This window comes from Homo sapiens, chromosome 17, assembly GCF_000001405.40.
Source record: "Homo sapiens chromosome 17, GRCh38.p14 Primary Assembly".
In the NCBI taxonomy this organism is placed as follows: Eukaryota; Metazoa; Chordata; class Mammalia; order Primates; family Hominidae; genus Homo; species Homo sapiens.
Window position 1 is genome coordinate 7,423,075 of NC_000017.11, and position 15,081 is coordinate 7,438,155.

At 56.2% G+C, this 15,081-nt stretch overlaps 3 protein-coding genes across 6 annotated transcripts, besides 6 other annotated features; all 3 read left to right on the forward strand.

Annotated features, from left to right (window-relative positions):
• Nucleotides 1–2,541: 2,541 nt before the first annotated feature.
• On the forward strand, nucleotides 2,542–4,494 carry SPEM2 (SPEM family member 2). 2 transcript variants are annotated; one of them, NM_175734.5, is made up of 3 exons: nucleotides 2,542–2,752; nucleotides 2,919–2,976; nucleotides 3,114–4,494. In NM_175734.5, exons 1-3 carry the CDS (start codon nucleotides 2,615–2,617, stop codon nucleotides 4,421–4,423), a joined length of 1,506 nt encoding a protein of 501 aa, NP_783861.3. In that variant the 5' UTR covers nucleotides 2,542–2,614; the 3' UTR covers nucleotides 4,424–4,494. The 2 variants fall into 2 exon arrangements, with proteins under 2 accessions (NP_783861.3, XP_006721534.1); XM_006721471.4 differs by having other exon boundaries at nucleotides 3,203–4,494.
• Nucleotides 3,477–3,978: an enhancer, noted in NCBI's record as "H3K27ac-H3K4me1 hESC enhancer chr17:7329870-7330371 (GRCh37/hg19 assembly coordinates)". NCBI's record gives its function as "activates a minimal SCP1, AML or CMV promoter by ChIP-STARR-seq in primed H9 embryonic stem cells {active_cell/tissue: H9 hESC(primed)}" and the evidence as "EXISTENCE:reporter gene assay evidence [ECO:0000049][PMID:30033119]".
• A 1,288-nt stretch (nucleotides 4,495–5,782) lies between the features above and the next one.
• SPEM3 (SPEM family member 3) lies at nucleotides 5,783–9,746 on the forward strand. 2 transcript variants are annotated; one of them, NM_001364708.1, is made up of 3 exons: nucleotides 5,783–5,966; nucleotides 6,116–6,173; nucleotides 6,294–9,746. In NM_001364708.1, the coding sequence occupies exons 1-3, from the start codon at nucleotides 5,829–5,831 to the stop codon at nucleotides 9,686–9,688; spliced, it is 3,591 nt and encodes a 1,196-aa protein (NP_001351637.1). In that variant the 5' UTR covers nucleotides 5,783–5,828; the 3' UTR covers nucleotides 9,689–9,746. The 2 variants fall into 2 exon arrangements, with proteins under 2 accessions (NP_001351637.1, NP_001351601.1); NM_001364672.1 differs by having other exon boundaries at nucleotides 6,393–9,746.
• Nucleotides 12,045–12,214: an enhancer, noted in NCBI's record as "active region_11619". NCBI's record gives its function as "activates an Ori minimal core promoter by ATAC-STARR-seq in GM12878 lymphoblastoid cells {active_cell/tissue: GM12878}" and the evidence as "EXISTENCE:reporter gene assay evidence [ECO:0000049][PMID:35858748]".
• On the forward strand, nucleotides 12,361–14,605 carry TMEM102 (transmembrane protein 102). Of its 2 annotated transcripts, NM_178518.3 has the most exons (3): nucleotides 12,361–12,622; nucleotides 12,779–13,011; nucleotides 13,120–14,605. In NM_178518.3, the coding sequence occupies exons 2-3, from the start codon at nucleotides 12,798–12,800 to the stop codon at nucleotides 14,430–14,432; spliced, it is 1,527 nt and encodes a 508-aa protein (NP_848613.1). In that variant the 5' UTR covers nucleotides 12,361–12,622; nucleotides 12,779–12,797; the 3' UTR covers nucleotides 14,433–14,605. The 2 variants fall into 2 exon arrangements, with proteins under 2 accessions (NP_848613.1, NP_001307373.1); NM_001320444.1 differs by having other exon boundaries at nucleotides 12,399–13,011.
• Nucleotides 13,266–14,175: an enhancer, noted in NCBI's record as "H3K27ac-H3K4me1 hESC enhancer chr17:7339659-7340568 (GRCh37/hg19 assembly coordinates)". NCBI's record gives its function as "activates a minimal SCP1, AML or CMV promoter by ChIP-STARR-seq in naive H9 embryonic stem cells {active_cell/tissue: H9 hESC(naive)}" and the evidence as "EXISTENCE:reporter gene assay evidence [ECO:0000049][PMID:30033119]".
• Nucleotides 13,266–14,190: a biological region, named in NCBI's record as "H3K27ac-H3K4me1 hESC enhancer GRCh37_chr17:7339659-7340568".
• Nucleotides 13,911–14,190: a silencer, noted in NCBI's record as "silent region_8117". NCBI's record gives its function as "represses an Ori minimal core promoter by ATAC-STARR-seq in GM12878 lymphoblastoid cells {active_cell/tissue: GM12878}" and the evidence as "EXISTENCE:reporter gene assay evidence [ECO:0000049][PMID:35858748]".
• Nucleotides 14,972–15,071: an enhancer, noted in NCBI's record as "active region_11620". NCBI's record gives its function as "activates an Ori minimal core promoter by ATAC-STARR-seq in GM12878 lymphoblastoid cells {active_cell/tissue: GM12878}" and the evidence as "EXISTENCE:reporter gene assay evidence [ECO:0000049][PMID:35858748]".

A 15,081-nucleotide genomic window follows, 5' to 3' on the forward strand; every position in this document is an offset into this window, starting at 1 on the left:
GGCATGATGGTGGGCGCCTGTAGTCCCAGCTACTTGGGAGGCTGAGGCAGGAGAATGGTGTGAACGTGGGAGGCAGAGGTTGCAGTTAGCCAAGATGGCGCCCCTGCACCCCAGCCTGGGCGACAGAGCGAGACTCCATCAAAAAAAAAAAAAAAGGCCGGGCGTGGTGGCTCACATCTGTAATCCCAGCATTTTGGGAGGCCGAGGCGGGCAGATCACAAGGTCAGGAGATTGAGACCATCCTGGCTAACATGGTGAAACCCCATCTCTACTAAAAATATGAAAACAAAAAATTAGCCGGGCGTGGTGGTGGGCGCCTATAGTCCCAGCTACTTGGGAGGCTGAGGCAGGAGAATGGTGTGAACCCAGGAGGCGGAGCTTGCAGTGAGCCGAGATTGCACCACTACACTCCAGCCTGGGCAACAGAGCGAGACTCCATCTCAAAAAAAAAAAAAAAGAAGAGAAATATTGGGGCCCCCCTCAAGAGGTACCTCACTGTAACATCACAGCTCTCTGTGACCTCACTCCTTTGATTAACTCACCATGTCACCAGTGAGGAGACTAAGTTCAGAGAAGCTAAGGGTCTTGCTCATGGTTACACAGACACTGAGGATCAAGCTCATGGCCTCAGATGCTCCATCCCATTGCTGCAGAGCCAGCCTGACCCACCAGAACCTCCCACCTTCCCCAGTTCACCATGTGAACTCAGAAACTGAGAAACAGAGAAACTCAGGCCCTGCCTTTCTGCTACACAATTGGGATCATATGCACATGCACACACATACCACTTGAGAACAAGCAGCTGTGTGCGTGAGCCCAGGCTGAGGGAGCTGGACTTCACCTTCCACTCTAGACAGATTCCTGGAATGTGAGCAGACGGACCGTTTACAAATGGCCCTACTTCTCTCATTCAACTAACGTTACTGATCATTTTCAATGGATTCCATTCAGTGGAATCTGAATCTACTCTGCATCTACTCTGTGTTTGGAGGCTGGATGGGATATGATCACTGGCCTTTCTTTCTGCTGAGTGGTTCACTGTGTAAACAAATGGCTTGCAGTCTCCAGGGCACCACAGACCCCAGTGATGCACCTGTTTTAAGTCAAACACTCTTTTTGGTATATTAACAATTACATGTATTTTGTGCTTTGTTAATTTCATGTGGTTTTCTTGTTGTTGTTGTTGTTGTTGTTGGGTTGTTTGTTTGTTTTGAGACAGTCTCACTCTGTCACCCAGGCCGGACTTCTGTGGCGCGATCTTGGCTCGCTGCAACCTCCACCTCTCAGGTTCAAGCAATTCTCCTGCCTCAGCCTCCCAAGTAGCTGGGATTACAGGCGCCCACCAACATGCCCAGCTAATTTTTGTGTTTTTAGTAGAGGTTTCGCCATGTTGGCCAGGCTGGTCTCAAACTCCTGACCTCAGGTGGTCCACCTGCCTGGGATTATAGGCGTGAGCCACTGCGCCCAGCAAGTTTCCTTCCTTCCTTCCTTCCTTCCTTCCTTCCTTCCTTCCTTCCTTCCTTCCTTCCTTCCTTCCTTTCTTGTTTTTTTGGAGACAGATTCTCGATGTGTCACCCAAGCTGGAGTACAATGGCGAGAGCTCAGCTTGCTGCAACCTCCACCTCCTGGGTTCAAATGATTCTTCTGCCTCAGCCTCCCGAGTAGCTGGGACTACAGGCGCGCATCACCACACCCAGCTAATTTTTGTATTTTTAATACAGACGGGGTTTCACTATGTTGGCCAGGTTGGAACTCCTGACCTCAGGTGATCCAGCCACCTCAGCCTCCCAAAGTGCTGGGATTATAGGCATGAGCCACCGCGCCCAGCTCGGGTTTTCTTCAGGTAGTAGCTTAACCGTTTTTCACCTTGGAGTAAGGGTGGGTTGGTGGGAGTGTAGGTGGTTAGGTTGGAGAAACCATGGCTGGGGTTGGTTCCCAGCAGAGGCAGCCACCTCAGTGAGTCAGATGTCAGTGTGACGAAGTGGCTGGTGGGCTCAAGGACCACCAACACCTAGGGCTGGAGTCTGGCCAGGAAGAATTGGGCAGAGATGGGAGCTAGAGGACTTTTGACAGGGAAATGGGCAGAGTAGGGAGGGGCTGGTACAGCAGGGTGATGCCTGAGGGGACGCAGTGTCACCCGCCCATCTAGTCACCCTAGATGCTGGCCCCAAAGTAACCATGGGGCAAGGCACGCCAACAGGCTATGTAAGTTGCCATAATGTCTCAAAAGAACAATGAAACAGGACATATCTGATGCATGCTTCAACCCTGTGACGACCGTGTCAGCCTCTAACTACCCTATCTTCAGCTCAGGAACCAGCTGTGGGGTTAAGCAAACCTCGTGGAGATAGAGGAACAGACTGAGATCTGGGATATGTGGGGACCAGGCTCCACCAAGTAGGAGCCAAGGGTGGAGATGGCGGTAGAAGGGGCCAGCAGAATGGATAAAAGCTGCCACCTCCACATTGTGACTCTCGCTAGCTCACCTCATTGTGACCTGGCTCCCTTACCAGCTTGTAGTTATCTCCGGGGATTGGCATGAGTGCAGTGTGGGTTGGGGCCGGGGGTGGGGGGCAGAGGGGGGTGGCCCAGGTGGCCCTAGGACCCCCCCTCCATGGAAAACCAGCTATGGCATAACACCGTGAGATGTTGCAATCAATACCAAGAAAGCCCCCACGATGCCGAGGACATCTTACTCCTGCTGCTGGGCCTCATCGTTCTTGTCAACATTGGCATCAACGTGGCAACTATGGTCAGTGATGATTGTGGACTACCTCTGGGGGTGAACAGGGCCAAGGGTGGGAGCCAGCTGCAGCCTACATCTCCACCTGCAGGTGCGGTCTAGATTGGGGCGGGGGCAGGGGTGGTGGTGCTGGGCGCGGAGGGCCTGGCCTTCACTCTCTTCCACCCTGCCCCAGATGTGGCATGGACTCCAGAACGCCTTAGACAAGATGATTGATTGGGCTACTCAGAAAAGTAAGTGTGGCTGCTGGAGAGGTAGGGGACCCCCATCCCCACCCCTGACAATGGCCCTAGAAACCCAGGCCCCAGTGTTCCCAACCTTGAGCTCTTCTGACAATTGCCCTGACTTCATGGACTCTTGCCTTCCCCAGATGAAATTCAGGCCAGTGAAAGTCCCCCAAGTGGTCCCCCAGACAAGGCTCAGGATGTCCACATCCACTGCATCCTGGACCCTGTGCAGGTGAAGATGTCCCGACCCACGCAGTACTCCTCTTTCTCCTGCCACCATTTCTCCAACCATCACAGTAGCAGTCTTCTTCGCTGTGTTCGTCGCCGCCGCCGCCGCCACCGCCGTTGTCGCCGTCGCTGCTGCAACCACCAGCAGCGGCCGCAGAACTACAGACAAATCCCCCATAGCCACTCAGTCTTCCGTAACCCACATCGCAGCCAAAAGATGTCACAACTACACCGAGTGCCTTTCTTTGATCAGGAGGACCCGGATTCCTACCTGGAGGAGGAGGACAACCTGCCCTTCCCGTATCCCAAGTACCCACGTCGCGGCTGGGGCGGGTTTTATCAGAGAGCGGGCCTGCCCTCCAATGTGGGGCTGTGGGGCCACCAGGGTGGTATCCTGGCCAGTCTGCCACCACCCTCTCTCTACCTGTCACCTGAGCTGCGCTGCATGCCCAAGCGTGTAGAGGCCAGGTCTGAGCTGAGGCTGCAGTCCTATGGGCGCCACGGTTCCCAATCCCGACTGTGGGGCAATGTGGAGGCTGAGCAGTGGGCCTCGTCTCCACCACCTCCCCACCGGCTGCCCCCTAACCCCTCTTGGGTCCCCGTGGGGCACAGCCCTTACCCCTCAGTGGGCTGGATGCTGTATGACTCCTGGGATCAGCGGCGTCGTGGCACGGAGGGCTTTGAGCGCCCCCCTGCCTCGGTGTCCCGGAACGCCCGGCCTGAGGCCCAGGGCTGCCGGGAGCACCACTCCCCACAGTCCCACCAGCAGAGCCTGCTTGGTCACGCCTATGGCCAGTCCCACCGCAGTCCCCACCCATCCACGGAACCCTTGGGCTACAGCTCCCAGGACCCCCGTGAGGTGCGGCGTCGGGCAGCTGACTGGGCTGAGGCTCTGCCCGCCTGGCGTCCTCTGACTACCTCTGCCTCCCTCACGGTGTTGGACGAGGCCTCCCATCAACGGACCCCAGCTCCAAGCTCAGTGCTGGTCCCCCATTCCTCCCAGCCCTGGCCCAAAGTCCAGGCTGCGGACCCTGCCCCTCCCCCGACCATGTTTGTCCCACTCAGCCGGAATCCAGGGGGCAATGCCAACTACCAGGTGTACGACAGCCTGGAGCTGAAGCGGCAGGTGCAGAAGAGCAGAGCCAGGTCCAGCTCACTGCCACCGGCTTCCACCTCCACCTTGAGGCCCTCTCTGCACAGGAGCCAGACCGAGAAACTCAACTGACCAGCAGGCGGATGTGGGGTGTGGGGCAGGGCATGGAGGGAGAGGAATAAAGAGAAACAGAGTCCAGGAAACACTGTGGTGGTCTGTAGCGTGGGAGTGCCACTCCTTCGGCCAGCCTGGGTCCCTGCCCTTGGCTTCCTGAAATGAGAAACCAGTGTCCCCTTCTTGGTGTGAGGCACCCCTTGGCTTAGTGGCCACGCGGCTGCCAGCAGGCCCTCCTAGTCTGCACCATGCACTACGTAGCTCTTGCACTGGCTGACGACAACCACCCAGGCTCTTTATTCTCCCTGTTTCCAGCAAGGATCAGGTCTGGATTCTGAACTCAGTGTCTTGAGTGGAGCTCTTTGGGATTTACTTAGCACATGGTACAGGACCAGGCCAAGGCTCTGGATTCCAGCCATGCCTTCCCCAAGGCTCTGAGGCGGAGGTCTCCCCAGTCTCTGGTGTGGTCAAGAGGTAAAGGATTCAGGATTCTGAAATGAAACTGCAGGAGTGGCCGAGTGCGGTGGCTCACACCTGTACAGCACTTTAGGAGGCCGGATCACTTGAGGCCAGGAGTTCGGGACCGGCCTGGCCAACATGATGAAACCCTGTCTTGGTCGGGCGTGGTGGCTCACGCCTGTAATCCCAGCACTTTGGGAGGCTGAGGTGGGCAGATTACGAGGTCAGGAGATTGAGACCATCCTGGCTAACACGGTGAAACCCCGTCTCTACTAAAGAAATACAAAAAATTAGCTGAGTGTGGTGGTGGGCACCTGTAGTCCCAGCTACTCGGGAGGCTGAGGCAGGAGAATCACTTGAACCCGGGAGGCAGAGGTTGCAGTGAGCTGAGATCACACCACTGCACTCCAACCTGGGTGACAGAGTGAGACTGCATCTCAAAAAAAAAAAAAGAAAGAAACCCCATCTCTACGAAAAATACAAAAATTAGCCAGGTGTCGTGCATGCCTGTAGTCCCAGCTACAACTATTTGGGAGGCTGAGGCAGAGAATCGCTTGAACCTGGGAAGCGGAGGTTGCAGTGAGCCGAAATCGCACCACTGCACTCCAGCCTGGATGACAGAGCAAGAATCCATCTCAAAAAAAAAAAAAAAAAGGAAGAAAGAAAGAAAGAAACTGCAGGAGTGATGGAATGAGAGTGAGTGAGTCACCCAGCAGTAGAGAACGATGGAGAAACAGGAGAGGGTCACTGGCTTCCAGACCCTGTTTGCCTGTCCATACCTGGTTACTCAAACCTGGTTACCAGAGAGTTCCACCCTGGGCCCTCCTCTTCCTCGACGTTCCTCATTGTGACCCTGACCACCTGCCTCATTATGACTCAGTCCACCCCCTCCCCAACAACAGGAGTCTTGCTCCTAGTGACTGTGTGAGGGCCGGGGGCCTAGGCAGTCCTGGGACCCCAGGCCATGGGTGAGCGAGCCTATCATGGGGCCCAGGTGTGCTCTGGCACCAACCCCAGGAAGTGCCAGGACTTAGGAGACTCGATTCTTCTTCTTCTGGGCAGCTTCATCTTGCTCAACGTGTGGATCAATGTGGTGACTCTGGTCAGGGCAGGATCTGGGTAGCAGGGTTGGGGGAGCCCTGGGGTCTTGAAGGGGCTGAGGTGGGAGGGCTGTTGGGGTGTGGCCAGATAAGAGTTGGACTTAGGGGCTCACCCTGCTTCCGGACTCACCTGCCCTCCCACTCCCTTCAGCTCTGGAAGCATCTGAAGAGCTCCTTGCGGATTCTTTTCCGTCATTTTTTCCCCAAAGGTGAGTGGGCCCCTGTATGGGCTCCCAGGGATATGGGCCTGTCCCCTTTCTCCTATCCCTGGCCCAGTTCTTAGTCCCTAGGGAACCCGGGCATTGTCCCCATCCTACCTCTCCCTGCAGACAAGCAGCCCAGCGGCAGCCATCCCATATGTATTTGCTCCTCCGTGGATCCCAAGAACCTGTGCTCAAAAGTCTCTTCCCGCGTCCATCCTCGCCCAGGCTTCCTGCTCAGGCGCGTTAACCACCTTGACTCCTGGATACCAGACACGAACGATGAGAAGGTTTCTGCGTGCTGCTGCGTGCCCCCTAAATGTGGACATGCCGGCGTTCCCAGGGAGTCTGCACGGGGACTGTACAAGGCGGGGATGATGGGCGGGGGAGAAGCCCCTCAGGTCACAGCCTCAAAGGCTCAAGCCTCCTTGCTCTCCAGGCCAGAGACATCTTCCCAGTTCCCAAAGATGAGCAAGTTGGACACGGGTCCATGCCACCTGCCCCAAGAGAGCAAGACTAAGACCCCAGACTGTGCCCCAGCCGAGGCCCCAGCTCAGGCCCAGGTCCACTCCCCAACCCACACTCCTGTGTGCACCCCAACCCACCCCTGGACCCGCTCCACGGACCACACCGCTGTGCACACCCCTGCCCACTCCTGGACCCACTCCAAAGCCCGCACCCCTGAGGGCACCCACTCCCAGGCCCAGGACACCTCAGCCCAGGCCCAAGCCCACACCTCAGCCCCTACCCCAGCTCAGACGCCAGCCCACATCCAAGCTCACACCCCAGCCCCTACACCGGCCAAGGCCTCAGCTCACACTAAAGCCCATACGTCAGCCCAGGCCCAAACCCACTCTCCGCCCCACACCCCTGAGTATACTCACTCCCAGGCCCACAGCCCTGAACACACCTCAGCCCACTCCCCAGCCCAGGCTCCTATGCCTGTCCCAGCCCACCCCCAGGCCCATGCCCCTGAGTACACCTCAGCCCATGCCCCAGCGTATATCCCAGACCACTCTCATCTAGTCCGCAGCTCCGTTCCTGTCCCAACCTCTGCCCCAGCTCCTCCCGGAACTCTTGCCCCAGCCACTACTCCTGTCCTAGCTCCAACACCAGCCCCTGTCCCAGCCTCTGCCCCCAGCCCTGCTCCAGCACTGGTCATGGCCCTGACTACCACTCCTGTCCCTGATCCTGTCCCTGCCACCACCCCTGCCCCTATCATAACTCCTATACCCTCTACCCCACCTGCCTTCAGCCATGACCTCTCCACTGGCCATGTGGTCTATGATGCCCGCAGGGAAAAGCAGAATTTCTTCCATATGTCCAGCCCCCAGAACCCTGAGTATTCAAGAAAAGACTTGGCTACCCTCTTCAGGCCCCAAGAGGGTCAGGACCTGGTGAGTTCTGGCATATCTGAGCAAACAAAGCAATGCAGTGGGGATAGTGCCAAGCTTCCTGCAGGATCCATACTGGGCTACCTGGAGTTGAGGAATATGGAATGGAAGAACTCAGATGATGCCAAAGATAAGTTCCCCCAGACCAAGACTTCCCCTTACTGCAGCTTCCATCCTTGCAGTTCTGAGAAGAACACAGACTCCCAGGCTCCATTCTACCCCAAATTCCTTGCCTACTCCCGGGATACTGCATGTGCCAAGACTTGCTTTCATTCTGCAACCACTGCCCAGAGCTCAGTGTGCACCCTTCCTCCACCGTTCACTCTTTCCCTGCCTCTCGTTCCTCCCAGATCCTTTGTCCCTCCTCAACCCACCAACCATCAGAGGCCTTCCACCTTAATACAAACCCCTACTGTTCTTCCAACCTCCAAGTCTCCTCAGTCCATCCTCACTTCCCAATTCCCCATCCCTTCCCTGTTCGCCACCATTTCCCAACCCCTGATCCAACCCCAATGCCCTGAATGTCATGAGAGTCTAGGCCTTACCCAAGATTCTGGCCTTCAAAGGACCCCAGGCCCTTCAAAAGACTCCAGAGTTCCCAGGAATCTGGACCTTGCCCAAAACCCAGACCTCTACAAGAACCCAGGCCTTACCCAAGATCCAGGCCTCCACGAGAACCCAGGTCTTGCTCCAAATCAAGGCCTACATGAGTTCCCAGGCCTTCCCCAAGATTCTTATCTCTGCCAGAATCCAAGCCCTTCTCAAGACTTTGGTCTTCACAAGAATTCAGGCATTACTCAAGATTCCCACCCCCAAAAGAACACAGGTCTGACTCAAGAAGCTGGTATCCTTAGGAGCCCATGTCTCACCCAATCCCCTGGCCTCCACAAGAAAACACCATTTACCCAAACTTCTGATCTTCAGAGGAGCTCAGGCTTTACACAAGACTCTGGAATCTATAGGAATCTTGAACCAAACCAAGAGACTGTGATCTACAAAAATCAAGATCTCTCCCAAGCAACTGACCACCAAAAGAACCTAGGCTCTTCTAAAGATTCTGGAGGTCACAAGAATACAGGCAATGTCCAAGATCCAGGAGTCTGTAGTACCGCAGGCCTTACTGAAGATTCTGGATCACAGAAGGGTCCGTATGTTCCCCAAGACTCTGAAGTCAATAAGAGCTCAGGAGTTATCCAGGAATCTTTTCTCCACAAGAGCCCAGGCCTTGTCCAAACCTCTGGCCTCCCAAAGTGCTCAGGCCTTACCCAAAACTCAGGAGACTACAAGAATCCAGGACTTATCCAAGATTGTGGTGGCCACAAAGTTAAAGGCCTTACTCAAGATTCCAACCTCCCAAGCCTTACCCAAGCCACTAAAGTTGAAAGAAGATTTAGCCTTCCCCAAGATGTTGGAGTTTACAGGAGCTCAGAACATAGCCAAGACTCTAATCTCCACAAGTGCCCAGGAATTAATCAAGATCCTGGCCCCCATAAAGACCCAGCCCTTGTCCAAGACTCTGGCCTCCCCAAGATTTCAGGCCTTACCCAGGAATCTGGCCCCTACAAGAGCTCATGCCTCATCCCAGATCCCAGCCTCTACAAGAACCCAAGCCCTGCCCTAGGTTCTGATTTTGTCCAGCTTTTGTCCCTGCTTCAGACCCCAAAGTCCACACTGTCCCTGATGAAGTCATCTGTGCCTGAGAAGGCTGCTCAGAAGGAGGACGCACAGCGGCACGTCCTCTGGGCTCGTGTCCAACTCAATGAGAACTCCTGCCCTTCCAAGGCCCAAGTGGTCTCCAATGACCTGCAGACCTTCTCAGAGGTACCTGTATTAATTGAGCTGCAGTCATCCTCCTGGCGGGCAGGCAGCCAGCACGGGGCGTACCGCCCTGTGGATACAGTTCCTTCAGGCTACCAGAACTATCGTCAGATGTCTATGCCTACCCATATCAACTGGAAGTCCCACTGCCCTGGACCAGGCACCCAGGCAGGGCATGTGGTTTTTGATGCCCGTCAGAGACGGTTGGCAGTGGGCAAGGACAAGTGTGAAGCTCTGTCTCCTAGGCGCCTTCATCAAGAGGCACCCAGCAACTCGGGGAAACCATCAAGGAGTGGGGATATCAGAATGTGATGAGAACCTTGGACAAAGAGGGGACAAAAGTGCATCAGGAATAAAGAGGCGAGAGAAATGTTCTGTGTTTGTTTGAGGACATCCACCCCAGCCCATCCCCGATACTGGCCACCCACAAAGCCACTGAGGACAGGTCCCTGTTTCTCCTCCATAGCTGCATAGCTAAGCCCATTATCCTCAAGGCCCTAGAGCTCCTCTGTCCCATACACTAGCCATTAGCCAAATGTGGCTATTAAAATGTATATTAGGCCTGGTGCAGTGGCTTACACCTGTAATCCCAGCACTTTGGGAGGCCGAGGTGGGCGGATCACCTGAGGTCAGGAGTTCGAGACCAGCCTGGCCAACATGGTGAAACCCCGTCTCTATAAAAATACAAAAATTAGCCGGGCATGGTGGTACACGCATGTAATCCCAGCTATTCGGGAGGCTGAGGCAGGGAGAATCACTTGAACCTGGGAGGCGGAAGTTGTGGTGAGCCGAGATCGCACCATTGCACTCCAGCCTCGGTGACACAGCAAGACTCTGTCTCAAAAAAAAAAAAAAAAAAAAAAGTAGATGTTACTGCGGAACACATTTTTAAATTTTGTTTAATTTTAATTTACATTTTCTTTTTTTCTTTTTCTTTTTTTCTTTTTTTTGAGACAGAGTCTCGCTCTGTCACCCAGGCTGGAGTGCAATGGCGCGATCTCGGCTCACTGCAACCTCTGCCTCCCAGGTTCAAGCAAGCGATTCTCCTGCCTCAGCCTCCTGAGTAGCTGGGATTACATGCGTGCACCACCACGCCCAGCTAATTTTTGTCTTTTTAGTAGAGATGGGGTTTCACCATGTTGGCCAGGCTAGTCTCGAACTCCTGACCTCAAGTGATCCACCCGCCTCGGCCTCCCAAAGTGTTGGGATTACAGGCGTGAGCCAGGGCGCCTGGCCACATTATCTACATTTCAAGTGCTCAACAGCCACAGGTGGCTGCTGGTGGCTACTGTATCAGACAGGACCAACTCAGGACATTGCTATCGTCACAGAAAATTATATTGGAGAGCCATGCTTTAGAGTTTAGAGGAACTATTCCTTGTCACCCATTCTTAACATCTTCAAAGCTTCCACAGAGTCCAGAGAACTTAGTTCTTTTTAGAGTGCCTCGGAAGCCACCCTCTGGGAAGGAGGTGAGATGCAGGGATGTCTGATGCCTGGTTACTCCAGACTGTGAGAAACAGCCCAGTCTCCAGTTCTCCTGATCTGGCCTCTTGGGTCACAGCCAGATGTGTGTGTACGGGAACCTACTTGCGCAGTTCTGGGCTGCTTTGGTGCTCTCGCTTCTCCCAGGGACCCCAGCTCTGGTTGCTGAAGGAGAAAACTCTCTGTCAGTGACGAGGAACCCCTGAGTCCTGGGCTTGCCAAATTGATCTCTACAGTTGGGGAGTCTCTTCTTTTACAGGCCTCTAATTTTCCTAGATGTCCTCCTTAATTATCTTATCCATGGACTTAGGCCTATCCCGTCCTGGAGACAGACCAAGGGCAGAAGGAATGTAAGAAGTCGTGGCCCAGGCCGGGTGCAGTGGCGCGTGCCTATAATCCCAACACTTTGGGAGGCCGAGGTGGGAGGATCACCTGAGGTCAGGAGTTCAAGACCAGCCTGGCCAACATGGTGAAACCCTGTCTCTACTAAAAATACAAAAAATTAGCCAGGTATGGTGGCAGGCGCCGTAATCCCAGCTTCTCGGGAGGCTGAGGCAGGAGAACTGCTTGAACCCGGGAGGTGGAGGTTGCAGTGAGCGGAGATTGCGCCACAGCACTCCAGTCTGGGCAACAGTGCGAGACTCAGTCTCAAAAACAAAACAAAACAAAACAAAAATTTGAGATCCCAAAGTGTTTTCCCTGCCACGACTCAGGTAGCAGTGAGCTGAGGTGGGCATCACTAACATGTATGTCTCTCCTATGAGTCAAACGTCCATTTCTGGGTCACCATCTGTGTGCTCCTGCCTAACACTACCACTTTTGGGATTCCAAGATGCACCCCCCCCACCCCACCCAGGCAGGGGTCCCTATCTCTCCCCAGGCCCTAGGGTGGAGTTTCGCTCTTATCACCCAGGCTGGAGTGCAATGGCACAATCTCAGCTCACTGCACCCTTTCCCTCCTAGGTTCAAGTGATTCTCCTGCCTCAGCCTCCTAAGTAGCTGGGATTACAGGCGTCTGCCACCACGCCCGGCTAATTTTTGTATTTTTAGTAGAGACAGGGTTTCGCAATGTTGGCCAGGCTGGCCTTGAACTCCTGACCTCAGGTGATTCACCCGCCTCAGTCTCCCAAAGTGCTGGGGTTACAGGCGGGAGCCACCGCGCCCGGCCCATCCCTCATTATTTTTTGCGACTCAGAGCCATCCTATTACCCCTCTCAAACCCCAAGGAATGTTTGAGTGGGGTTGATATGGGTGTGAAAAGACACAGAATAATCTGTCTCCAGAGGAACTACAACTTCCATCAGGCACTACTTCAGCGGAACAGGAAAGGATGTGGGGGCGTGGCTACCACGCCCTAGTAGAGCGGGAAACTACAACTCCCAGGATAACGCGGGATTTCAGCAGGGCCAAAAGAGTGATTGAGCTCTGACTGGCGACCCGACCCGGCGGAAACCACCTCGACAGCCTCCAGAAAGGGGCGTGGCTGAAAATGTAGGGGCGTGGCCACGTGGGCATCAGGAAGAAGTAACCTGTTGAATCTATTTCTGCTCCCCACCCTTACTGCTTCCCATAAGGGGGAAGCCGCAGACTAATAAGCCTCTTCCAAAAAAGAGGTAAAGGGAGGTAGACAAGGGGCGGCAGCGGAGGCTGGCTACTGCATTCCGTAGGAGGAGCCAACAGTTACTTTTTACCTGCTGAGTCCGGTGAACCAGTTCATGGGGGCGGGGACCTGCCTATGAGAAAAGGGCCAGGATAGAAGAGGTATTTATTTGTTCATTTTGAGGACTAAATTTAGAACCCATCATCTACAGACCCATTTGTAGGTTGTGTCTGGGGCACTCGCTCGGCCTCAGGAAGAGGGAAGAACGGGGACGACTTTGTGGCAGCAAAGCCACCTCCCTTCCGTGTTTTCCGCAGCCCAAAGCGATAGAACCGCATGGCTTCCGCAGTCTGGGGGAGTGCCCCCTGGTGGGGCCCGCCGCCCCCGGCCCCAGCTCGGCCGCTCACGGACATCGACTTCTGCTCCGGGGCGCAGCTGCAGGAATTGACCCAGCTGATCCAGGAGCTGGGTGTGCAGGAGAGCTGGAGTGACGGGCCCAAGCCGGGAGCCGATCTCCTCCGGGCCAAGGACTTTGTCTTCTCTTTGCTTGGTAAGTAACCCTACTTGCCTTTGGGAACTCACAGCTCTCAGCCTCACCACGCCCCCGCCCCCGCCCCGGCTTTGGGCGACGCCCTCACGATCCGTTCCCTTTTTTTAGGTCTAGTTCACCGCCGGGACCCTCGCTTTCCTCCCCAGGCAGAGCTCTTGCTGCTTCGTGGTGGGATTCGCGAGGGCTCCCTGGATCTGGGGCATGCACCCCTGGGTCCCTACGCCCGGGGACCTCACTACGATGCCGGCTTCACACTCCTAGTGCCCATGTTTTCACTGGACGGCACTGAACTGCAACTGGACCTGGAATCCTGTTACGCACAGGTCTGCCTCCCAGAGATGGTGTGCGGAACCCCCATCCGGGAGATGTGGCAGGATTGCTTAGGACCCCCAGTCCCAGGAGCACGTGATTCGATCCACCGAACGGAGAGCGAAGAAAGTTCCAAGGACTGGCAAAGCTCTGTAGACCAGCCGCACAGCTACGTCACTGAGCACGAGGCGCCGGTGTCTTTGGAAAAATCGCCTAGTGACGTTTCAGCGTCCGAGTCGCCTCAGCATGACGTCGTCGACCTTGGCTCTACCGCACCTTTGAAAACAATGAGTAGTGACGTCACCAAGGCAGCCGTCGAAAGCCCAGTCCCAAAGCCGTCGGAGGCTCGGGAAGCGTGGCCCACATTATGTTCCGCCCAGGTGGCTGCCTGGTTCTTTGCTACGCTGGCGGCGGTCGCCGAGTCTCTGATCCCTGTCCCGGGTGCTCCGCGTCTGGTGCACGCAGCTCGCCACGCGGGTTTCACCACCGTCCTCCTGGCTACCCCTGAGCCCCCTCGCCGCCTCCTGCTCTTCGACCTGATCCCAGTGGTGTCCGTGGCGGGCTGGCCCGAGGGGGCTCGGAGCCACTCGTGGGCCGGTCCGCTGGCCTCTGAGTCGGCTTCCTTCTACCTGGTGCCCGGTGGCGGCACCGAGCGGCCGTGCGCCTCCGCCTGGCAGCTCTGTTTTGCCCGCCAGGAGCTGGCGCTCAAAGCGCGCATACCAGCGCCGCTGCTGCAGGCGCACGCGGCGGCCCAGGCGCTACTGCGCCCGCTGGTGGCCGGGACCCGGGCGGCGGCGCCCTACCTCCTGCGGACGCTGCTGTACTGGGCGTGCGAGCGGCTGCCTGCGCTCTACCTGGCGCGGCCAGAAAATGCGGGCGCCTGCTGCCTCGGGCTGCTAGACGAGCTCGGCCGAGTGCTCGAGGCCGGGACGTTGCCTCACTATTTTCTGAACGGCCGACAGCTCCGTACGGGGGACGACTCCGCTGCGCTGCTCGGAGAATTGGCCCGGCTCCGCGGGGACCCGGCCCGGGCCCTCCGTGCCGCGGTGGAGGAGGCCAAAGTGGCCCGCAAGGGGGGCGGTTTGGCGGGCGTGGGGGGCGGGGCCCATTAAAGACGCTGTTCCTACCAGTGGAAAGTGCCTCTGTGGGCGAGCGGGACGTGGGGGGCCCTGCTCGCCCCTCGCCAGGGGGACTGACTGTGTGCCCTGGGCCTGAAGCCCCCCTTCTGGAAGACCTCCCTGTTGGTTCCTCCTCTACGCCCACCCGCCTGCCCCCGCACAAGTTGCCCCATTCCAGCCTCGCTATTCTCCACATCTGTGGCCAGCACTCCGCCCAGGGGCAGCTTCCAGAAACCGTCTGTCCCCAGTTCTTTTGGTCATTTCTCTTAAGGGCCAATAGAAATGGGAGAAACATATTTGCTGACCAAACGCGAAAAGGAGTTATGGAGACCAGGGTCTGATCAATTTGGCTCACACAACGGCAGAGATATGAAGGAGGCCGGATTTCGCCCAAGGCTGGATCTCACCACCCCCCATCCTCCATCTCTCCAGTTCTTCCCCCACTTTACTCGTGCGGTTCTTTCTTCACTAACATCCCGGCCAGTAGGGTCTCTCTCCCTTCTCCCAGCGTCCGCCATTCCATCTCCCTTAGGCCCAACCTCTCCTTCCTACCCAGGGGTGCGTTCAGGAGGCCTTCCTGTCCCTCCTCCTCTGAAGGCTGAGACGTGCGGCCTTGCCTCGGCTTTGCCTGCTTGTAAGACAC